Here is a 25,767-nt window from a genome sequence, read left to right as displayed (position 1 = left end):
ACAAGTTTGGGCAATCGCTTAAAGGCTGTGAGCCTCAGTTTCTACTTCTGTGAAATAAAGGAGCTAATGTGCACACTTAATAAATTCCTTTCCCGTCATAACTTTCTTCTCTGTTTGCCAGTGTTAACGTTAAATGGGCTGAAAGGAAAGGAACAGAGAAGTTAAAATCCTTTCAGAGCCAGGGCTAAATGCAACTATGTTCAAGAATTTTGAACTATGTTCAAAGAGTAACCACTTTCCTACAAGCCTGCAGTTCCAACCCTGTTTTATTTAGCTATAAATTTTCATAAAAATGGGTCTCAATCCAGATGTTACTGCCTGGCAGAAAATATGAATCAAAACAAAGAAAATTGCATCGTCTCTGTTTTGGCTTTTTTACATGTATAACATTCCTCAAATGCACAACAGCCAACATGCTATTATTCAGTTAGCAAATGTTTGTTAAGTACCTACTATTCAATCACATATAGTTCACCTTATGGGAAATACAGAAATAAATGAAATTAAATCTCTATAAAGATTTCACTCAAAGAAGAAACAGAGGTACACAACTCTAAGAAAAGGCAGAATAAAATAAATGTCATGGATGGAGATACAAGCCACATGCTCAAGGAATGATCATCTTTGACCAGGATCTTCCGCTGGAGAAGATGGTATTCTTTTCTTAGTGCTATAGTCACTGGGAAAGTTATTTAAAGGATGTGAGTCCTACAGTCCAACTAGTCATTGAAAAATGAGTTTTACACAAAAATTCTGACTGCAAATCCAGCTTTCTCTGCTGCCTCTACAAAAAAAAAATTTATATTATGCTCTTCAATTTATGAAAACATATATATCTGTGTCTATTTACACAGAGATGTATAAAATTCTATTTAATCTTCACATCAATCCTAAGAAAGAGTTGTTTTTACTTATCCAAATGTTTCACAAATCTAAGACTCTCAGAGGTTTCAGGACTTGCCCAAGATCAATCAGAACAAATCATAAAGATAGGGCTCAAACCCAAAATTCATAACACCCACGTCTGGAGTTTCCCCTGAAATATTCCTAGCATGCAAGCTGCCGTGCTCTGGGGTAAACTGATAGACCTCCTATCTGATCACTGTTACTACCAGGAAGAAGATAAGGACTGGAATTCCAAAATTCTTCTATTTAAATGATTTTATATCTACTGTATTTATTAAAATAAAAACACACAGGGGATTATGAAGCTATATCCATCCCTTACAATGTAGTAGGGTAAGTGACTGTCCCTTGAGCAGAGCTTAGGAAAAGGTAGATAGTGCAGAGATGCCAAGAACACAAGGACGGCAAGGCACCACACCAGCAGAAGTAGAGAGCTGTAAGACAGAAGCATTGATAATCAGTTTTGCCTCCTTCACAATCCTGCCCAAGGAGAGACTCAGGAATGAAAGAGGAATTTCACCATGTCTGTCACTTTTGCATCTTTTCTGTGAAATGAAAAAAAGAAACCGAAAGGTAAACATGTCTCCAACAGCATTAATTTGTAAAGAGTCCAAATCCCCTTTTAATGTGTTACTTTTCTTAAAATAATTACCAGAAAAGAAGAAAGTCACTGAATAATTTTTCAGCATTTTAAGAGGAGCACTCCACAAATATGTGCATTTATGTGGGCTCTTCCTGTACGCATCTAGCTTATTGATGCTGCAAGTCATGTTTCCAAGCAGATTGCCATGATGGGTCATAATAGATTGCACTGGGGTAGGAATGTGGACTAAGTGGAAATGCAGGGCTAATCTGTCAGGTCCAACCAAGATAAATATCCCAGCAGTACTGCCATATTTCACAGTGCCTAGTGTTGACTATAGATCTCCTGACATGATAAATTTTATGGCCAAATGTGGTGGCATTTTGCAACCCTGGGTCTACTAAGGATGGTTGGTCCTTCTCTGATGGGGTCAGTTGTGATAAATGGCCCTGTTGAACTCCCCATGAAATATGACATTTCAGGATAGCCAAATTCTCTTTGATGCGCATGTCCCAGTTAGCCTCAAGACATTTACCAGAGGAGCTTTTCTAGTTGGAAGAATGAAATGGTACCAGATATGACCTTCTCATCTTCCTTACTATTTTGTCAGCAATGAAAAAGAAAGTGGTAGAATCTCTTTCCCAGGAAGATTGTGGACAGATTTCCCTCTCGAGTGACAGGAGGTGGAGGGCACTACCTGGGAGGAGAAGAAGGAAAGAGATAATTGGTTCAATCTCCTGCATCTTTTGTTAATTCCCCTGACATGGAGCCACCAATTCGTTTTGGAGGAAGTTGTCTTTCCCTATACAAGAGGCCTGAGTAGCCAATAAACTGATGCTACGTATTTCTCCAAGGAAACTGACATTTTATCCAGAGCAAGCCAAAATGATGTTTCCATACACAGAATTATGTATATGCTTCATAAGAAAAGAAAGCTTGAAAACTTCTGTAGACCACCCCATTTCCCATCTTTTCAAGACTAGTTTATGAATGACAGTGATGATAAAAGCGCATGGTACCTGCAGGCTTATGTCAGCATACCCTGTCTCCAGTTAATTCAGCCTTGCACACAAGAGCACAAACTGTCATAGTTTAACATCTGTCACAAAATAACTATGTGACCCCGGGCAAGTAACTAACCTCTGAGCCTTGGGTTTCTCAGATGTAATGAACCCAAATTTCCTTCTGTTGCAAACTTCTAGTAGGTAGTACAACAATGTGTTAAAGAGCACAGATTCTGGAATCAGGCTGCCTAAGTTCAAAAGCTGTATCCTTCACATAATACACAAGGACCTTCAGAAATTTCTTTAATCTCTCTGTGCTCCATTTTTCTCATCTGTGAAATGGAGTTGATAATCAAAGCACTCAATACATAGGGCTGTGGTGAGCATTAAATAATTTAATATATGCAAAGTGCTTCTAATCAAGGACAGAAGATAATGAGTTTTCAGTAAGTGATTGCAATTATTATACTAGGATTCTATGTACATGGTATTCAAGTAATGGTGATCAGTCCAGTACGTGAGCTGTTACATAGTAAAATAATTAACATTTTTTTACTATCTCACCGTCACCTGTAAATGGACTCCTACATGTGGACAAATTGTTATCAACAAACAACAGGAACAGAACTGCATAATATTAATCATTATACTTCTATTTTCTTTATCAGTTTATGTCACCATCATGTCCACAAATGGTAATATTTTAAACTCTTTCTTCCCCTGAATTAGTCCCACCCCCATCTTCTTACTCAATAAACCACACACACACACATACACACAAGTACTCAAACCACAGTCATTACACAAATCTTTTCTAACTTCAACTGCCCAATATTTCAACACCACATCCTCTCTTTTCCATTCCTATAACAATCACACATGGGATGCATTCAATAAAGTTTCCTTGATGATGACGATGCTAATATGACTGAATATGAACATAATGGTCTTAGATTAGTAAACTGTATTTATTATTTTCAAAGTATACAGGTAAATCATATGTGCTTTATTCATTCATTCATGCAGCTGTAAGCCTACCATATATTAAGCCCTGAAAAATCTCTTTTGGGCCCAAAACAATGATGTAACACATCAAAATCTCATCTAAATTTACATTCAGGCAAAATCTTAGTTATTATCTTATGGTCAAGCCATAGAGCATTCATTTTGTAAGCAATTACTTACAGAAAATAATTCATTAAATTCCTAATTGTTTTTCTTCTTAGGACTTTGCTTTGGTCTATAGATACATTTTTCTAGTTGTGACTTCCTCATCTGAATATTAAGGAAGTTTGACTAAATAGTCTCAGAGGTCACTTTCTGTTCTAATGTTCTATGGAACAAAGACAAAAATAGTTCCCCATGATTAGAACTTAAGGAAATAATATCAGCCAGGAAATATAATGGATTCTAAAATAATGACAAAAAGGATATGCACAAAATTGATTATTTCTGGGTGGTCAGCTTGTGGATGAATTTTATTACTACCTTAATGTTCTCTGTCTCTCCTCTTTATTCTTTTCCTGTTTGGTTGCACTATTATTATATGGGCTGCCAAAAGGAGTAAAGTGTGATCAGCTTTCCTGGAACATTAAGTCTGGAGAAATTCTGAGGGGATACTCCTGGCTCCCATTTGATTGATGGGTCAGTTGAGCAACAGCTGACATATAATGAAAAAATCATAGACTTCAGAGTCCAAAGACTATACTTTAAGTCCCAGTTTTTCTTTCAGCTTTATATTCCACTACAAACAATTCACGTTTCTTCTCTGAGGCTCAGGTTCAGCATCTATAAAATGCATATCCTCACAATTGAAGGCACAACCTTTGCCTGGCTGTCTAGCTATGTCATCAGTACAAGAAAGACATTGCTATTCCTTATCTTCCAAATGTGAGAGAAGAAACTCAGTGAGGTTAAAAGAGGTAGTACAAGTGAAAGTACCTTGTAAATCCCAAAGTTCTACATGCATTTTGTTGTAGTTGTTACTGTTAGATTACCCCAACAAAATATTAAGCTTTTACGCCTATGTGATTACAGTAATGCAGACAATAGTATAAACTTTGATTATAAGTAGACATGTTTGTTCTCCTTAATTTGAGATATACAGAAAAAAATTCAAGAGGAGAGTAGCACTTCCTTTTTCCACTAAACTTCAAGCATGGTAGGAGTGGCCTATGTCTATCTTGTACACCAATGGGCATTTGTAGCACGTAGTAAAGAGCCTGGAATATAGAAGGAGTTTAGTAAGTATAGTAAAACTCTTCCAGTGATGGATGTGATTCCATTTTATGATTTCCATAAAATGCCTGATTGCATTATTGCAAGATTAACGAAAAGGCTATGCAGTTTGCTAGCTCAAGGCTGTTGGGTGTGCAATCTAAATTCATCTAGTCCCATGGCTGTGACTTGGTCCCACTTCATTGTCATCTTCTCTGGCTTAAATATTGATTCCAGGTCTTCTGGCTGCCTGAGATTTCCAGGATGGGAAATACAATTATAGACATATCTTTGCACCTTTTCCCCTCCTTATCTGGGTAGGAATAAAGAACTTTGGAAATATGAGGACCCATTCTCTGGCTCCACACTTCCCAAGAAAAACTTTCTCTACTGTTTCTTTTTTTTTCCATAGGTTTTTGCGGAACAAATGGTGTTTGGTTACATGAGTAAGCTCTTTAGTGGTGATTTTTGAGATTTTGATGCACCCATCACCTAAGCAGTACACACTGTACCCAAAGTGTAGTTTTTTATCCCTCATACCCTCCCACCCTTTCACCCAAGTCCCCAAAGTCCACTGTATCATTCTTACGCCTTTGCATTCTCATAGGTTAGCTCCCACTTACGAGTGAGAACATATGATGTTTGGTTTTCCATTCCTGAGTTACTTCACTTACAATAATAGTATCCAGTTCCATCCAGGTTGCTGTAAATTTCATTATTTTGTTCCTTTTTATGGCTGAATAGTATTCCATGGCGTGTGTGTGTATATATATATATGTACATACATACATACATATATATACACCACAATTTCTTTGTCCACTCATTGATTGATGGCCATTTGGGCTGGTTCCATATTTTTGCAATTGCAAATTGTGCTGCTATAAACATGCATGTACAAGTATCTTTTTCGTATAATGACTTCTTTTCCTCTGGGTGGATACCCAGTAGTGGGACTGCTGGATCAAATGGTATTTCTACTTATAGTTCTTTAAGGAACCTCCACACGGTTTTCCATTGTGGTTGTACTAGTTAACATTCCCACCAGCAGTGTAAAAATGTTCCCTTTTTACTGCATCCCCACCAACATCTATTTTTTTTTAATTTTTTGATTATGGCCATTCTTGCAGGAGTAAGGTGGTACTGCATTGTAGTTTTGATTTGCATTTCCCTGATCATTAGTTATGTTGAGCATTTTATTACATGTTTGTTGGCCATTCGTATATCTCCTTTTGAGAATTGTCAATTCATGTCCTCAGCCCATTTTTTGATGGGTTTGTTTGGTTTTTTCTTGATAATTTGAGTTCCCTGTAGCTTCTGGATATCAGTCCTTTGTCGGATGTACAGACTGTGAAGATTTTCTCCCACTCTGTGGGTTGTTTGTTCACTCTGCTGATTGTTTCTTTTGCTGTGTGGAAACTTTAGTTTAATTAAGTCCCATCTATTTATCATTGTTTTGTTGCATTTGCTTTTGGGTTCTTGGTCATGAAGTCTTTGCCTGAGACAATGTCTAGAAGGGTTTTTCCAATGTTATCTTCTAGAATGTTTATGGTTTCAGGTCTTAGATTTAAGTTCTTGATCCATCTTGAGGTGATTTTCATATAAGGTGACAGATGAGGATCCAGTGTCATTCTTCTACATGTGGCTAGGCAATTATCCTAGCACCATTTGTTGAATAGGGTGTCCTTTCCCCACTTTATGTTTTCGTTTGCTTTGTCAAAGATCAGTTGGCTGTCAATATTTTACTTTATTTCTGGGTTCTCTATTCTGTTCCATTTGTCTATGTGCCTATTTTTATTGCAGTACCACGCTGTTGTGGTGACTATGGACTTATAGTATAAAAATGACCATACTGCCAAAAGCAATCTATAAATTCAATGCAATTCCAATCAAAATACCACCATCATTCTTCACAGAACTAGAAAAGACAATCCTAAAATTCATCTGGAACCAAAAAAGAGCCTACATTCCCTGCCATTTCTTCACCTGATCTCACCCTCCCCTTTCTAACGAGTCTCCTCTCTCTCCCTGAGAAGAAATCCAATCAGGGACTGAGCAGAAGACCAATATTTATTACCAATACTCACTGTGTTTTACTATTGGTAAATTAAATGAATATAGAGTTATAAGAATGACTTAGATAAATAAAAGTGGCATGTTTAATATTTAACATATTAAATGAAACTGGTATATATTGAGACAAACAATATTCCCAAAATGATTTGAATTTTTTTTCAGAGAAAAAGAAGTGAGAAAGGGATCAAAGAGAAAAAAAGAAAGCGACATTTGTACTAAGAAATGACCCAGTTGTGTCTTTAAAGATAGAACACATTTTGAGAAGCAGGCAGACCCACAGACAAAACTCTCCCAAACAGCAATTTTTTAATTCCTTGGCTTCCACTATGAAATCAATTACTTTTTCATGAATAGTAAACTTACTCTGTCCTATACTCTTCCAACTTGTCTAAGATAGAGTCTATCATTGGATCATTTAATTGGATCAGCTCACTCTTCATGATAAGCATGAGCATTACACAATATTTTATACTCCAAATTTGAAGGAACCTTACATATCTGCCCCATCAGTTGGTTACCATCTTAGCTTACCAAATTTATGATCTGTGAGCTTCCATGACCACTCACAGCTGTCTTGATTTTCCCTGGGGCTGCAGCAATGATGGTTGAGAAGAAATTCCTAAGTGTTTGGTTTTGAAGTACTGTGTTGGCCTCATGAGACTGGAGTAAGAAAAGAGAGGAAGTTTCTGTTTCTCTCAGATTTCATTTTAACAAGATTCCAGACTGACATGATTTTCCAACCAAGTGGGACCAATTTAAATACCAGGATATGGTGATTTTTTCTTACTATTTGATTTTAGTATTTCACTTTTTAACTAGGAACCATAAGGCATTATTCAATAAATATTTAATAGGCTCTTATAATATAGAAAGTACCCTGCTAAGTCTTGCTGAAGACGTAAAGGAAAATAAAACATGACTTGTTTCCAATCCAGTTATGCCATTTCATATACATGTAATGCAGTTAAATATACGTGAGAGCATAAATGAACTAGAAGCAAACTCTCTCTCTCTATATATATATGTCCCATTATCCTATTATTTAATATTTAAATATGCCACTTTTCTTCATATATATACACACTCATATATACACACACACACATTTTTGTGTACGTATATATGTATCTATATCTATTGTCTATATCTATTATCAACTGAAGAATAATAAGGTTCATAAATTTGGAAGGAAGAGCTTTATTTCTCTTAAATGGTTGCAGCCTGCAGGTGGCCATTCTGACAGGCCAGAAAGTGTAGCATCCAGTCACAAGCCAAAAACAGGAACTTTGAGGGAGACTTAAAGGGAACAGAAATTTATGCTGAGTGGAGTGGCCAAGTATACACATTTAATAAGCTATAGGAGGAGTCATTAATATTTATGAATGGAGAAAGATGCACATGTGCAATTGAGATTTACATCCCTTCATGGGTCACATGTACAAAAAGTGATGGCATCAGCATGATCTGAGGATGGAGTTTTCAGCCCTCTGAGGTCAAAAGATAAAGCAGAGGACACAAAAATCCTCATTGTATACCCTCTATAGACTGGCCAGAACCACTCCATGGTCCCTGGTCTCTTATCAGCAAGGAATGCCATTCAGCCATTGTATTAAAACCACAAAAAGGGAGAAGCAGCCTCAGGGGTTGGTTGAAATCAGCAGTAGAGTGAATCTTTCAAAAGAGCTGGTTTCTGTTTAACCCTCAAGGAAAAAAGTCTAATGGCAGTTAGCAAAGAAGGGTGTATAATGAGGTGAATCTGCCCTCTTATCACTTTACGGCTAGGAACTCTGTTTTCAAGGTTTCCCTAGGGTCCCCTTGGCCAAGAGGGGGTCAGTTCAATTGGTTGGATAGAACAGAATTTCATTTTTATTTCTCACTCTATAGAGAGAAAAATACATAGATAGATGATAGATAGATAGATAGATAGAGACAGATAGATAGATAGACATAGATAGATAGAGATAGACAGACAGACAGACAGACAGACAGATAGATAGATGCTATAATAACTCACAATATAAGACAGCATACAGGCTCCAATAGGTGAATGGCAATATGTAAAAAGGAAGAGTGGAAATATCAGAGAAGAATCAAAAGATATGAGCCCCAACTCACACACAAAAAAATAGATACTTTTTTTTTAATGGAGAGTGTGGAGTCCTGATAAGCAACAAGGATGGAGACTAGCTGTCGAGATAGAAGAAAGAAGAAAAGGGGGAGAGGAAAACCAGTTCTCGCAAGAAGGCTGACTAAACACCCTTGCACAAACACCCTGTCACAGGATGCCTGGGGTGGAAAGGCCTGCCAGTTAAAAATCACCCCAATGTATTTTTAGCAAAGCAGCATGACCCTAACCACATATAGCCCCTAGAGCGTGACCCTATAAAACTTCCCTCAAGCCCTTGACTCTTCTCAAACAACCCCTTCTCTGCTGTGCTGCCCATTGCTTCCTTGCAACATATTTTCTCTCTAATAAACCTGCTTTCTTTAACTCACTACTGTCTTGGTAAATTCTTTTGCCACCCACAATGCCAGCCCCAGTCAGTCACAACCCATGACAGGGAGGATTTCAACTGATGGAGAACAGGTTGGCAGATATGAGATAACCCAGTCAACTTGAGAAATATTGAGAAATATTAAGAAATCATGTTTAAATGACACTTTAGTGCTGAAATTTAAAAGCCATCAGAGTGAAGAATTTGGCCTTCACGCTACAAATAAGAAAAAGCCATTCAAGGGTTCTTAGTAAAGTAACATCAAAAAGTAATATTTAGGAGGATCCATCTATCAGCATTAGGTAGACTCATTTAAAGAAAAGTCGTTTGTAGGCAGAGAATCTAACACAATGAAACTTCATGGGAAGGCAGAATCAGTGGACTGATCTGGCTTCAAATTCCATTCACTAGCTCTATGGCCTCAAGCAATTTACTCAACTTCTCTTTGGTTTCACAGTTCCCCCAACTGTAAAAGAGAAATAAGAAAAGAAAATTTACAAGTTTGTGGTCAAGATTAAATCAGATGGTATATGTAAAGTGCCTAGCAAGGAACTGGCTCAGTTTTTGTTTACGGAAGAATGTCTTAATTTTGCCTTCACTTTGGATGGATGGTTTTGTTAATTATACAAACCATGATTGACAGGTCTTTTTCTTTTAGCACTTTGAATATGTTATTCCATTGCCTTCTGGCCTCTGTTGTTTCTGATGAACTATAAGGCATTTTTCATGTTATTGTTCACTTCTACATGTTGAGTCATTGTTCTCTTGCTGCTTTCAAGTTTCTCTTTTGGTTTTTGGCCTTCACCAGTTTGACTGTGATACGTATGATTCAGATCTTTTTTGTTTATCATTCTTGGGGTTCTCTGAACTTATTCTGCCACTTTGGAAATAATTGGCTGAACCCCTGTCTTTTAAGTAATGTATGCCAATACAAATGTATAAAGTTTCATTAAGTGTGAAGTTTAGCTTATTAATATTTAGCTTAGAATTTATCTTAGAACCATTTTCCTTCTTAGGTTGCAGTATTTTTCTTCTACATTTTGCTCCACTAGCCACCTTATAAGTTACTTCACCACTGACATACTTTACTTGCCCTCAGAAATCAGGCAGAATGGATATGGTACTAGTTTCTGTGATATAAAGAAATAATTTGTAAATTCATTGGTTGCATTTAGTAAAAATTAATATTTATTGGTCACTCCCTCTAATCTCCAATCCTCTTTCTAAGTATTTGCAAATATGATCTCATATAATCATCCTCACAAACCATATACTATATACTATATATTGTCTCATTTTACAGATGAGCAAACTAAGGCTTAGAGGGGTTAAATAACTTCTCTTGGTCGCACAGCTACTAGTAAGTGGCTGAACCAGATTCAGTTGACCAGTCTGACTCATAAGCACTATACATTACTGTCTGAATTGAGGCATGCTTCTTTAATTTTGTATTTCTTTTCCCAAAGGCAGAAATTTATTTCAAATCTCCAACCTTCATTTTAACTTGAACATAATGATAATGTGCTTTCTATCAGGGCCTTTATTTATACTCCGATACAAGAGGCAATATTGCAAAGTGTCTCTTGTACCCTGATTTTGGTAATAGATTATCTGAATTCAAATGTAAGTCCATCTCTTTGCTATCTGTATTGACAAGTAATTTAAAATCTGTGTGTCTTGGTTTTCTCATCTTAATTCAGTATAATAAGAGTAACTACCACTTAGTACCGCAAAATGCTAGGACAGTCTAACCCAAAGTAAGCGCTCAATAAACGTTAGATATTATTATTACCTTGTATCTTTTACATTGTACTTATCAGATTATACTACAATTTTCTGTTTGTCTGATTTTCCTATTAACTATTAACCCCAAAAGGCAGAGACTATATCATTTTCATCTTTGTAGCCCTGAAGCCTATCAGTATCTGAAACACAGTACTAATACATTATATTTTTAAGGGATAGATGGATGAAAGAGTTTTTTCACTGGGCAAGCTAACATTTTACATCAGATTTTCAGCCTAGAAAAAAATAGCCAGGTATTCTCTGTTAATTTTCAGAACATGGTAAGTTCACCATATACATAGCAGTAAACTGCAGATGGCAAAGGAAAACTCCCCGCAAACAGAGAGAACAGAGATGTCTGTGGCCCTAGCTCATCACACATCTTTGACAAATCTAGTTTATGTAACTCCACAGAAGCTAATGAGAAGCAATGAGGACTAATGGCCCAGAAGTTCTCTTGATTTCAGAATAATCCATGCCAATCTTACTTTGTTCAAGGCATACCTGCTTTTGGGTAGTAGTCCACTGGTAGGCGTTTCATTTTCCCTTGTAATTAATGATTTCCTTCTATCGTCCATCCCACCATTCCCTCTCCCTCATCTTCACATGGTCCACATACACACCAGAGGAAATGTCTGTGTTCATGTGCCATATTAGCCTCTTGAGAGGGCTTACATTTGAGATTTTTAGTCTCAAGAGAAAAAAAATGACCAGAAAATTTAATAGTACTGTTTTATATGTGTATATATATGTACATTTACATTCATGCACATATACATATAGGCACATGGATATATATATATGTGCATATACACATCCAACTAAAAAAAGTTAGCTTATTGGTATCATTAGGAATTCAATACAGAAAACATGGACTGACCAAGAGGCTGGGCGCGGTGGCTCACAAGGCTGAGGCGGGTGGATCACAAGGTCAGGAGATTGAGACCATATGGCTAACAAGGTGAAAAAAAATTAGCCAGGCGTGGTGGCGCGTGCCTGTAGTCCCAGCTACTCAGGAGGCTGAGGCAGAAGAACTGCGTGAACCCACGAGGCGGAGCTTGCAGTGAGCCAAGATTGCACCACTGCACTCCAGCCTGGGCGACAGAGAAAAAAAAAGTCTCAAAAAAACAAAACAAAACAAAAAAAACATGGCCTGACCTTAGCCCAACACCTAAAGACCTGATCTCTGGAGTGATACCATTTGGGTTTGAAGCTCAGCTCCATCATTTGCTACCTGTGTCTCTTTTTTCGTAAATCACTTTTCTGAGTATCTATTTCCTCATTTATACCTTTCTCACTGGCTGGTGGTCAGGATTAAATGAGATAATTAATTAGGTACAGTATTTTCACAATGTCAGATATGAAGGAAGATGGCAACGTTATCATCATTCTCATTTTACAGATACAAAAACCAATGGTTAGAGATGTTAGCAACCGGCAGCATGTTTTCCTGAAAATTAACTCCGCAAAACCAAACTTTCTAAACATCTAATTTGTTTTATTTACTAAGTTTCCTGGTTTGATGAAAATGCTTTTTATACCTTTAAGTGATGAGAAAACTAAAAATCAAACAGGAATATTTTAAGAACTTAAAAGGAAGGTTGAATTTTGGTGTCTCACGATAAACGATCTAGCAAAACAGAAATGTCAACATTTATAATGGGAATTTCTCAGTTTCTGTTGATCTCTAGATCCATTTTAACATTATTTCTGTTTTGTCAGATTTTAGCAGTTTCAGGAATTTTTCAGTCATTTTTTAAAATTCTTTGCATTTATTAATTTATAGTCAAGGAATATTAGAGGTACTAATCATGTAATCTACTATAATAAAATATTCTGAACAGCTCCACTTTCTTTACACACTTTGAAATTTTTAACCCTTTTATGTCCAGTATGTCAATTAACTTATAACTATCCCAATTGTCTCTTATTGGCAAATAGAATTTCTGTGTTTCCCATCTGATGAGATTTTTCTCCAATTTATGTTTATTTAAGATGCTTTTAGATTTAATTTTAAATTCTTAATTTAATTTAAACAGTTAATGTAATTCAATCTTTCCTTAATCAAAATAACTAAAAATTGAACTTAAATTAAAATAAAGATTTAATTCCACTTAAAATAGAAGCTCAATTTAAAATTAAAATTTAATTTAATTTGAAATTGTGATTATTTCACATGCTTTTGAATTAAATTTAAATTTTAAATTGTTACAGATACAAACTGAAACTTGATATGCCATTTGAGATATTGGCAGCAGAATATTAAAAGTGCTTGAAATTTGAAAAAATATAAAATGACATTCAAAAGCATCCAAATTCACATCCAAAAGAAGTAACTGAAACAATTCTAACATGTATAAAAGTCAAAATGTTGGCTGGAAAATAGCATTTTTAATTGAACTTCTTATGATTTTTTAAATTCTTGACCATTTTTCTCAGTTACAATATTAGACTTAGTTTAATTCATATTCCTGTTAAGCTGACTAACATTGTTGTTAAAAACTATCAGAACTGGTTATTTGGTTAACAGATCATCAGGAGAATGGATCTGCTTCCTAGGTAATTTTCCCACAGTTACATACTGGCAGCCAATTTTAGAGCCAAAATCTCCTGCAGACATAGTCAATTCTCCTTTCGGTGCACGATTTTAGAGAATATAGGCCAAAGAAACTCATATGGAAAGTCTGCCATGGTTAGTCTACTTGAGCAAGTTTTACATGACCATAGATTACCCAGTGCCAGGTTAAGTGAAATTTTGGTTTTGAGTACATAATCAGAACAATTAAGCAATATGTTATGGGTTGTTTCCACATTTTGTGTTAAAGGATAAAACTTCCATTTAGTGTTCTCCATATTTTCAGCTAAATATTATCTCCCAAACATCTTTTTGATCAAACAAGAAGGAAACTCCATTTTCTGATCCCCCATTATTTTATCAGAAACTACTTTAGTTACCTCTTCAAACAGTCAAACTTTGAGGCACGCCATAATATTTTTATATTGTTGTTTTTACTTCTTAAGGAAGTTGGTAAAATTCTCCTTTAGGAGAAAAGCAAGATGATACACTAAGGAGAAAAAAATCATATTTTGATGAGTACCCAAAAAAACTAGAAAACAAACAATAGTTGCCTCTTTCTTCCAACATCTAACAGTTTTGCTCATTATTTTGAATATATGGTTACTCTTTAGGAAACTACTGTCACCAATGTTTGTGAAAAAATGTTACTAAAATACATATTTATATTATCTCTTTTCAAGAGTTATATAAATCCCTATTTATTTAAAGAAATGTCATACATTTCAATGATTTTATTTCCTTTCTCTAATAGAAGACATTTTAGAAAAAGCCAATAAAATTAAGAAAGAGCAAGGAATGGTATGCCATGCACTGTGCGTAGGTGTTCAGTAAATGGTATTTTATGTTGATAAGGAGAAGTAAGAGAAAAATAAGGAGAAGTACAATTCTAAGTATATTATTTTTTAATTTATGCTGCAAAACAGAATTATTTAGTCACACCTCTAAATTTAGTATAAAATCAGTGATGCGGCAATCACTAAAATGTAAATCAGGCAGAAGAGAATAAAAACCTAAGATCTACTTTTTAACCATTTTCTTTGTGAGTAGGGAAGAAAACATGTTCCATGGTGGATGTGTTTTTGGAATTCAATCGATTGTTGTTGTTTTTTTAAAGCACCAGGATAGGTCAATATGATTGTCATTTTAGTTACCGATCATCAAGTGCCCATTATCTGTTCAGCAATATATTCATTTATTTAATCTTTCAGATAATACAAGGGAACTTCAAAAACTCCATGAAAAATTGAATTGAAAGATGTAAACATAAACTTTCTTAACATCGGCTCCATCAAGTTCAAGACACTTTCATAAATGATCATACCAGCCACTTAGTCCATCTCTAAAGAACTGAGGGTACTGGGAATTTAACCAATGAGGTCTTCTTTACATTATTAACATGGAAGTTTTTCACAGATTTTGTAAGATTAGGAAACAAAAAGAAGTCAGAAGCAGCCAAATCAGGATGGCAAGGTGAATGCCTAATGATTTTTCCATCAAAACTCTTGCAAAATTGCCCTTGCTTGATGAGAAGAATGAACAGGAGTATTGTCATAATGAAGGAGTCTCTGGTGAAGTTTTTCTGGGCATTCTTCTGCTAAAGATTTGGCTAACTTTCTCAAAACACCCTCATAATAAGCAGATGTTATCATTCTCTGGTCCTACAGAAAGTGAGCAAGCAAAATGCCTTGAGCATCCTAAAAAAAACTGTTGCCATAACCTTTCCTCATAGATCGTCTGCTTTTGCTTTGATTGGACCACTTCCACCTCTTGGTATTGCTTTGATTGTGCTTTGTTTTCAGAATTATCCTGGTAAAGCCATGTTTCAACTCCTATAACAATTCTTTGAAGAAAGGCATCAGAATCTTAACCCTACTTTTTAAAAATGTCAATTGAAAGCTCTGCTCTTGTCTGCAGTTGATCTGGACACAACAGTTTTGGCACCCATTGAGTGGAAAGTTTGCCCAACTTTAATTTTTCTGGCAGAATTGTGTAACCCGAACCAGTAGAGATGTCTATGGTGTTGGCTATTGTTAATGTTGTTAATCATTGGTCCTCGTCAATTTGGACATGAAAAAGATAAATTTTTTCCTCAAAAATTGATATGGATGGTATGCTGCTGTGAACATCTTAGAACAAATCATTCATTTGTAAACTTCTGATTCCTTTAGGGCATTGTCTGCATAAACTTTTCATATAGCATCAGTGATTTTGCCACTCTTCCACCCAAGCTTGACCATAAATTTGACATTCATTCTTGTTTCAATTTTAGCAGAATTTGGCCAGCTGTGGTAGCTCATGCCTGTAATTCCAGCATTTTGGGAGGCCGAGGCAGGAGGGTCACTGGAGCTCAGGAGTTTGAGATCAGCCTGGGCAAAATAGTGAGACCTCTTCTCTACAAAAAATAAAAAAAATAGCCAGGCATGGTAGCATGCATCTGTAGTCCCAGCTACTCAGGAGACTGAGGTGGGAGGATTACTTAAGCCTGGGAGTTTGAGGCTGCAGTGAGCCATAGTCACACCATTGCACTCCAGCCTGCATGACACAGCAAGAACTTGTCTTAAAAAATAAATAAATAAAAATATTTAGCAGAATTCACATTACACTTAGAGGGGCTCTTTTCAAACTGATGCCTTATCCTTCTGAGTGTTTCAAACTAGATTCTGCTCAGACGTGTTATAAGATGTTAGCATGAGTTTATTTGAATGAAAAAAATTTTTGAAATCCATTCATAATACACATTCCCATGATCTTTTTGAAGCCCGCTCGTATTATACCACTATTTTATAAAGAAACAAAATTATAAAGGTTAAGGACTTCATCCAATGTCTAATGGCTTATAAACAAAAGAATCAAGATGGACAGTTGTAATTCTAGATATTCAATTTTTCCTCTTTCCTATCAGCTGCCATGAAGTTGCATCCCTCTCTTCCTACATAGCATTTGATAAGTGAAAGCAAAACACTGGGCAGAGAGACTTACAGCCCAGGTGTAAGCACACACTTAGCATTTGGCTTTCATCTCTAAAATCTCTGACTCCACAGAAATGAAGCTTTTTGAAGCAGAATTTTAGGTGCCAATTCAAAATCCCACATGCTACTGAAGCAAACATTTATTTTCATTATTATTCCTTAGTATACTAGATATGAGAAAGATAAATGTGAACTCTCTGCTTCTTGGCCAGACTGCAAGTTTATGACATGACATGAAATTTTTGGTGAAATCACCCAACTCTCCTCTACCAGTGAAATTATTTGTTATACAATCCAATGATCATATTCAGATCCAGACCTTAAGAAAATTATCTTTTTTTCTCCATCTAAAAATACTTTACATAATTGATGGTGTCACGTACATACTAGGCACCACTATGAAAATAATTCTCTATTACTTCAAGCTGGTGCAACCAATACTGTTGAATTTTTTTTTTTTTTTTTTTTTTGAGACGGAGTCTCCCTCTGTCACCAGGCTGGAGTGCAGTGGTGCGATCTCAGCTCACTGCAACCTCCGCCTCCTGGGTTCAAGCGATTCTCCTGCCTCAGCCTCCCGAGTAGCTGGGACTACAAACACGCGCCACCATGCCCAGCTAATTTTTGTAATTTTAGTGGAGACGGAGTTTCACCATGTTGGCCAGGATGGTCTCAATCTCTTGACATTGTGATCCGCCCACCTCAGACTCCCAAAGTGCTGGGATTACAGGCGAGAGCCACCGTGCCCGGCCTTTTTTAATTTCTTAACATCCTCTGCATGCAACTGTCTCATAAGCCAAGTCAGTACCAGCAAAAAAGTTGCAAAAAAGCAGCAGAGAAAAGAAGGATGATACACTAAGAGGAATAAAAAGGTTATTAATAGTTGCAGAATTAGAGAGCCTTGCTAAATGAAAAGGATGGAGATGGCAGTTTCATAACTGCCTCTGATTGATTGATATAACAAATGTAACAATAGCAGATGATGTACAGCACAGCTCCGAACAGCAATACACAATAGCAGACACTCTTTTTTAAAACAAATTTGTTTAATCTCTGAAAGTTTATCTGGTTCACTGACTCCAGTATCTGACTTTTGTTCTCTGGAGATATTTGAGCCATGGGATTTGTGCATGGCCTAGGTTGGTGGAAACAGGGTCTCCTGCCCAGAGCATTGTGTGCTGTCACCGCCAAGAATCCCATGGAATCAATAGTCAAAATATAAGGTGGAGAGGGCCAAAGACAGTTTTCTGGGAAAATGAGACCTAATGAGGCAATAATTCAATAGAAAATCTAAACCAAAAATTGGGGCCTGAAGCATAGAATCAAGGAGAGAAGGAGCAGGAGAGGAGAGTAGGAAACCTTGAATAAAGTACAGGCAGGAGTCAGTGTAAGCAATTGTGAAACAGAACCCACTGGCCTCTGTCGGCCCAAAGGCCCAAGGCCATCATGGCAGGGCAGTTAACGTTGAAAAAGCCGAAGAGTTAGAGAATATGAATGGAAACTAATAATGTCCTATAATCCCCAAACTGAAATGCTAATGGAAGATCTTTCATAGAAGAGAAATTTTTAAATAATTACCAAAAATAATTTCTCAGTTATTTAACCCTAGAATGTAAAATAGTGGATGGGGAAGATGTTTTGGAATTCTGCAAGACTTGAGTTGAGGTCTAGACATTTTCTCTGACTTTGTGTGCTTTGGTTAGTAACTTTGCTTAGCCAAGACTCAGTTTATCAGTCTGTTTACACATTGCCATAAAAAAATACCCAAGACTGGGTGATTTATAAAGGGAAGAGGTTTAATTGACTCGCAGTTCCGCATGGCTGGGGAGGCCTCAGGAAGCTTACAATCATAGCGGAAGGCAAAGGGAAAGCAGGCATATCTTCACAAGTCAGCAGGAAAAAAAAACAAGTGAAGAAGGAACTTGCCAAACACTTACAAAACCATCAGATCTTGTGAGAACTCACTCACTATCATGAGAAGAGCATGGAGGAAACTGCCCCCATGATTCAATCACCTCCCACCAGGTTCCTCCCTCAATACCTAGGGATTACAATTCAAGATGAGATTTGAGTGGGGACACAAAGCCAAACAATATCATTAAGCTTCCTGAGAATAATAATAGTGTTTATCTCACAAGGTTTTATAAAGACAAAATGACACACTCCACATAAAGTGCTTAACATGTTAACCAACACATAGGAAGTACCATATACTTTTGCTTAAAGGAAATGCTTTATTCAGGTATAACTGACCTATAATAAACTACACATATTTAAGTTGCACAATTTTATGAGTTTCAACATATGCATAGGCTCATTAAACCATCTCCACAATTAGAAAAATGAACACACTCATCACCCCCAAAAAGTTACCTTGTGTCTTTTTCTCTACTTCTTTCCTTCTGTTCTCACCATCGCTCCCCTACATTGCATCTCAAGAAACAAATTATTTTATTTCTGTCATTATAGTTTTTATTCTTTAGAATGTTATACTTATGGAAACATATAGTATGTACTCTTTTAGTGGGGAGGGGTGGTCTAGCTTTTGTCACTCAGCATAGTATTTTTGAGATTTATTGTGTCAGGAGTCTCCAAACCACTTGTAGGTTCAATAATGTTCTAGGACTCCAGCGTCTGATTTTTCTTTTCTGGAAAATCATTAAATAATTAATTATGATGTATTTAGGGTTTCTTATACTTTGAACTTCCTGCATCTGTGGGTTTAAAGTTTTCCTCAAATTCTAAAAATTAACAGACATTATTGTTCTGTGCTGGAAATGTATGAGGGTAAACAGCCTTTATCCCAAGTATATGTCAATACAGATATAATAAGCAAATCACAGTGGGAAAGGGAGAAGAAAAAATACATATATATACATATTATATACATATATATATATATATATGTGTATATATATATATATATGTATATATATATATAATATATATATATATATGCACCAGACTATGGAGGAAGCATCACCAGACCAGGAAGCAACAGCTTGGGCTCCAGAGTCAGCTGCCCGTCCATGCACAGATGAGGAGAGGTCTCATGAAGCTTTGGTGTAGTCTGGGACCCTAGCTCTTTTGTAACTATTTGCTTGGTGTGAGGCCCAGTCACTAGGGCCCTTCATGACTGGGCTCAAAGAACACAAAAAGATCAGCTTGTTTTGCGACTGTCTGTTGTTTTTCAATAACTAACACACAGGAATAGATTGAAATAAAGATTTCTCCGAAACAGTGCCAGATAAATGCTTCAAGTGGCTACCTGTTCCAGGACTTGATGACCGTTGTTTGTGTCCACATTCAATTCCTCCACAATTATTTATTTAAAAATTGTCTGTCTCAATTCTTTCTTTCTTCTTTTGAGGATTTCAGTTACACATACATTAAACAACTTCAAGTTATCTTGAATTTTTCATTTTTTTTGCCTTTTATGTATTTCATTTTGGATAGTGTTTATTGCTAAATCTTTAAATTTACTTATGTTTTCTTCTACAATGCCTAATCTGATGTTAGTCACATCCAGGGCAGTTTTCTTTTTTTTTTTTTTTTTATCTCAGACATTATAGTTTGCATGACCAGAAGTTTAATTTGGATCTTTTTATATCTTCTATATTCCTACTTAACATCTACAATCTTACCTCTAAGTCCTTGAAAATATGAAATACTGTATGCTAAAGGATACAAAATGGCAGATATGTAGGATGAACAAGTTTAGAGATCAAGTGTACAACATGAGGACTAACGTTAATAAAATTATATTGCATTAGGGATTTCTGTTAAGTAAGTAGAATTTAGCTGCACTTGTCACAAGAAGAAAGGAATTATGTGAGATGATAGATGTATCAGTCAGCTTCACTTTAATAAGATTTTACTATCTATATGTATCCTATAACGTCATGTTTTAAGCCTCAAATATACACAATAAAATTTATTTTGAAAAAATAAATATATGTTTTAATATTCTTATCTACTAATTCAGTCTTCTGTGACATTTTGGGTTATGGATTGTATATCCTTACTTCTTCACATGCTTAATTATTTTCTATTGAATGCCAGACATTGTGAATTTTATTTCAATGAGTCCTGGAGACTTTGGTATTCCTGTACATATTCTTGAGCTTTGTTCTGGGACAAAGTTAGGTTACAGAGAATCAACTTTCTGGCCCACTTTTAAGCTTTGTTATGCAGTAACATTGCAGCATGTAGGGCTAGGTCTGATTTTAACCCACCATTGAAGCAAAACTCTTCTGAGTATTCTGTCCAATGTACCATGAATTATGAAGTTTTCTGCTTTGGCTAATGGGGCAGGAACTATTTCTGGTCCTGTGTCAGTTCTCAGCATGCTTCCTGCTAATCGTTTTGGATGGTTATTTTCCCAGTCTTGACTAGTTTCCTCATACATACACTGCTCAATATTCAGATGAAGACTCGATAGGGTCTTTTTTGGATCTCCAAAGCTCCTTTCTCTGCAGCTCTCCCCTTTCCATTGTTCCAGCTGCCTTAGTCTCCCCAGACTCCCAGCTCCATCTCAACTCTGGGAGGATATTGTGCTTAGTCAGTCTCCCCTTCCCTGAGCTACAGCCTGAAGCTTTCAACAGGTAGTAATCTTGGGCACTTTTAGGGCTCATCTTGTATCCTATGTCTCAGAGGTCACTGTTCTTTGTTGTCCAATGTCTAAAAAAACAGTCATTTCATAAATTTTCTGGGTTTTTTCTATTATAGGGAAGACAGTAAATGTGGTCTCTGTTTCTTTACCTTGGCTGGAAGCCCTACATACTTTTTGAAATATATGAATAAATTTATTTATATCAACATCTTTCATAATTGAATGACAAACATACTCATCTTTAATTTGCTATAAGATATTCCATAAACCGTTGAAAGCAATTTGTATGTTTATGTATGTACATGTTTATGTGTTTCAAAAGAGAGATCCTAGAGAATCTTCAGTCTAAAGGCTTCAAAATTTATTGTTTTTTAAACTGTAGGCTAGATGATCAGTAATCTTTGTGTACGTGGGCTACACTAAGCTTATTTTGTTGATAAGATTAATAAATAATCTCACCCCTAGCACACATAACAAAAATAGGACATAACATATGAGTTCGTGCATATAAAAGCTTTAGTCATGCTATTTTTTCTCTTTGTCAGTCATCTTTCATAGTGTCCCAGTTTCTTGAGGTAATTTTGGTGGAATTAAAACTGGACAGCTCAAAATTATATAATTAAATACATTCAGCTTCAATTAAAAATTATAATTGATTCAAAGCTGCTAACATGACCCCTGATAGCAATAACACATGAGCACAAATGACCTACTCATTGACGTATGTCAGAAAAGTTTTGAAAAATGGGGGAGATGGGTAGGTAAAACATTTACCATAGAATACCTTTGGTCAGGATGACACATGGTAAACAGCCTGCATGTAGTGCAATGTCTTCCTTTTATAGATGAGGAAACTGAAACCCAAACTTAAATAACATCTCAAGTCACACAGTTGGTGCATTACTAAATATGGATATGACCCAAATCTTTTTATCCTCTGTATTGATTATTAATTTACTTGTTTGTTTTCTCATAATGGAAATGCCCTTTTCAATGTGGAATCATTTCTCCATATCAGAATATGAGACCCAGAGAGAAGCCACTGTTGAGTCCCAATTCAACTATCTGTACTATCATGGAGCATCTAACTTGTGATTGATGTTGTTTGAGAAAGTGAAAACCCTCACAATTCATTTAGTAATTCAATTAATGTTTTTTGGCCATTTTCTCCACACCATTTATCATTCTATTTACTAGAGATACAGAGGTGAACAAGGCAGACAAGATCCTGCTCTGAAGGATTTTACGTTTTAGTTGGGACGAGAGGAAGGGAGGCACTGAAGACGAAAGACAATTGTAGAAATATAACTTTAATTCATGATGAGTGACCATATATAGTGAATACCATACAGTGATAGAAAGTGGTTATCATGAAGAATGATACAAATGGATGCATTTGCAATGTACGTTGCAGGTAGATATCATAAGACTTTTCAATAGATTGTATGAGAGGAGTGAAGGAAAGAAAGAAATGGGGCTGGGACAGCGGGAGATGGGGAAAAGGAAGGGAGGACACCCGGTGGGGAACTGGATGGAGAACAAAGTCAAAAATTCTGTCTAGGCTTCATTAATTGGAAGGTGCCCATTAGAACTGTTTTTTTCAAATTTTAAAATTCAGGTTCTGATTCAGTTAAGTCTTCGGTGGGCTCAGGGGTCAACGTTTCTAACAACATTTCTGGGATGATGTCAGTGATACCGCTACACAGACCACATTTTCAGTAGCAAGTTCTTAGTTAACCAAGTGGATTATAGTTAAAATAGTGATCTAGAGCTGTATAGAAAGGTAAGAAACTGAGTTATAAAATTTGGTAACATTTGATATATTCCTTTAAGCCCAAATTAATTGAGAAAATATAGAAGAATTAGCAAACCAGAGAGTTTAGAAGAAAATCCTATAAAATTTAGTAGACAATGTACAAGAAGCCAACATTTGTATAAGACAGAATGTGAATTTAAAATAAGAAGAGAGAAACAGGGATAAATGTAGAATTCAAGAATCAGAAATAGGTTGTGAGCTAGATATTGCACTATAGTTCTATAAGACAGGTAAGATGAAAAACAATCCCCTTTGATTCCCTTTTTGCTAGTCTTATCCTGACCCATTCTATAAGCATCATTTGAAATTTTAGGGTAATAAAAGCTTGGAGTCAAAGACAGAAGGCAATGCCAATAAGTCACTGAAGTTTTGGCTGATGAATTTTAAATAAGAAACTAACAGCTTAAACACTATTCCTTAGACCAATGGCTAACTGAACCTTTTCTGGGAATAGTGGAGAAATATGAGTACATTCAGGGAGTGAAAAAGGTAACATTATGGCTGAATTTTGATGGAATTGTAAGTTAAAAAAGAGAAGGAAGATCCCCTAAAGGGGCCATTCAAAGTATTTAAATTTGCACTTACCAAAGCACGTACTAATGTTTTAACAGCTGTAGTGGTTAAGCATTCTTCTGTTTTAGTAGTTTTAATAGCTGATGACAAGAAGGCAAGGTTAGACACCCAGAGAGCTCAGTAGACTTACGGCAACACCTGTAATGAGTGAAAGTCTATTTTGATGGAACGGAACAGTGTCTTCTGAAGAACAAAAATGTTTAATAGACTGTTCTATATATTTAAATTAAAGGAGATTTGCCCTTTACTTAAACTTGACCAGCAGACTCCACAAAAGCTCTAAACAATAGTACTGCAATTGCTAGAATACAAAAATGGAGCAGATTATCATCAACGAATGTATATCTAGTGCCTACAGTGTGAGAGCACATCTATTCTGTGTTCAGGCAGACACCACATAAAGCAAAATAGGGATTTGGCCATAAAGTTTAATAGGAATTTAATAATTATCCAGTCCATTCAGTCAAAGAAGAAGGCAATTTGGAAAATTGAGAAACTGGATTAGGATCCTGATCCCTTATCTCTTTCTTATGTAAGCCCTACAACCTATTATGCCCGCTCGTCTACAAACTTTCAGTTTGCAATGTCCTCTACATTTTACACGGGCCTAAAAAAGCAATAGGACATAAAGCTCCTCCCAGTAGCATGTTATCTACTATGGCAAATATAATACTTTCCCCATGTAAATATGAGGCAGAATGCTAACTTTTAGAGTTGGGGTACTTGGATTTTAGTGTGCATCAGAATCACCTGGAGGACTTGTTAAACCACAGATTGCCAAGCCCCACCGCCAGAGTTTCTGATTCAGTAGGTCTGGAGCAAGGCCCAAGAATTTGCAGCTCTAACAAGTACCCAGGTGTTACTGATGCTGCTGACACAGTGACCACAGTTTGTGAACAACTGTTTTAGAGGATGACAGACAGAAACAGTATTTTCAGCCCAGGCTATCAGAGATAGCTTCACTAAGACTGCCAAGCACAAATTGAATCTTGAAGGACTAAAGACTGCAGCGTGGGAAATAAGAGAAAGAGGGTATTAGAAACCAAAGAAGGTACTAGTTAATAAGCTAAAACTGCAAAATGTTTTCCCTGCCCCCATACTATTGTGGTTATTAAAGATCTAAGAATACAATACAGGAAATGAAGATATTCCCATTTTCACATTGCTTGAAAAACTCAAAAAAAGCAAACTTTCCAAGGAGTTCCCCCAGATCCTAATTTTGCAATATATTTATTGAATTTCCTACCTCTTTTGTTGCATCTGTCACAGTGGCAATCCACACTCAAAAATGAAAAACAGGCACTATTAGCCAAAATGCTACAGAAGATTTGGGGGGGATTTTCTTATCTAGGGCCTGATTTTGTTCTTAGACATTCATGGGCACTATCTCTATTTCAGTCTCCTCTGACAACACAATAATTTACGTCTTTTATGTATTTTGCTATTGTTCAGAATACTTACAATGAAAGAAAAAAGATATAAAAATATTTCTAAAAAGAAATATGAAAAAAATTAATTAGAGAGACATATAACAAATTAGGACAATGCGGTATATAACACAACAGTCTTTAATTTGCTGGAAGAGCAACAAAAGAACCAGAAAAAAATGACATTATTCAAATGCCAGTCAGGGTTATTGCATCTTGAAAAAAATTCTAACCCTTGGTACAATTTCAGAAATAAAAAAATAGAAGTTTTTAAAAATTCTATTCTTTAATTTGTGAAAGCACCCTAGTCTGACAACCTAGAGTCCTCAAAACAAAGCCATGGAAAAGGAAATATTCAGAGAATAATGACTGATCATGTTTGGCTGGAGCCTAGATATGACTCTAGGAATAAAAGAAAATAAAGGCAAAAAGGTAAGTTGAGGTCAGAGTCTATATAAGACTTTGGATTTCTAAAGAGAAGAACCAAAGCATATTCCTACCAAGAGAATGTCATCCTTCCCCAGAGTGAAAGCCATGTAAAAGAGAGACTACCAGGAGAGTAAAATAGTAGACATCTGCTATATTTGTCTTTTTAGTCTGCTCTTTCCTTTTGGGCACTGTCTCTTTCCTATTCCATTTGATTCCAGCAAGACTGTTCATCACAATGCCCACCTGTTCACTGGCTGTAAGAGTGGAATAAAGACCTGACCTATCACTGTCCTCCACTCC

At 36.1% G+C, this 25,767-nt stretch overlaps 1 long non-coding RNA gene across 5 annotated transcripts in view; it reads right to left on the bottom strand.

The window, feature by feature from the left end:
* Positions 1-25,767, bottom strand: part of LOC107984704 (uncharacterized) — a 336,950-nt gene that overhangs the window by 298,281 nt on the left and 12,902 nt on the right. For all 5 annotated transcript variants that reach the window (XR_001750835.1, XR_001750837.1, XR_001750838.1 and 2 more), the window contains exon 2: positions 23,624-23,749. This is a non-coding gene — a long non-coding RNA (uncharacterized LOC107984704). The remainder of the gene's footprint in view (positions 1-23,623; positions 23,750-25,767) is intronic.

Source organism: Homo sapiens, chromosome 14 (assembly GCF_000001405.40).
Source record: "Homo sapiens chromosome 14, GRCh38.p14 Primary Assembly".
Taxonomy (NCBI): domain Eukaryota; kingdom Metazoa; phylum Chordata; class Mammalia; order Primates; family Hominidae; genus Homo; species Homo sapiens.
Note: the sequence above shows the minus strand (reverse complement) of the source record. Positions and strands in the feature narration are given on the sequence as shown.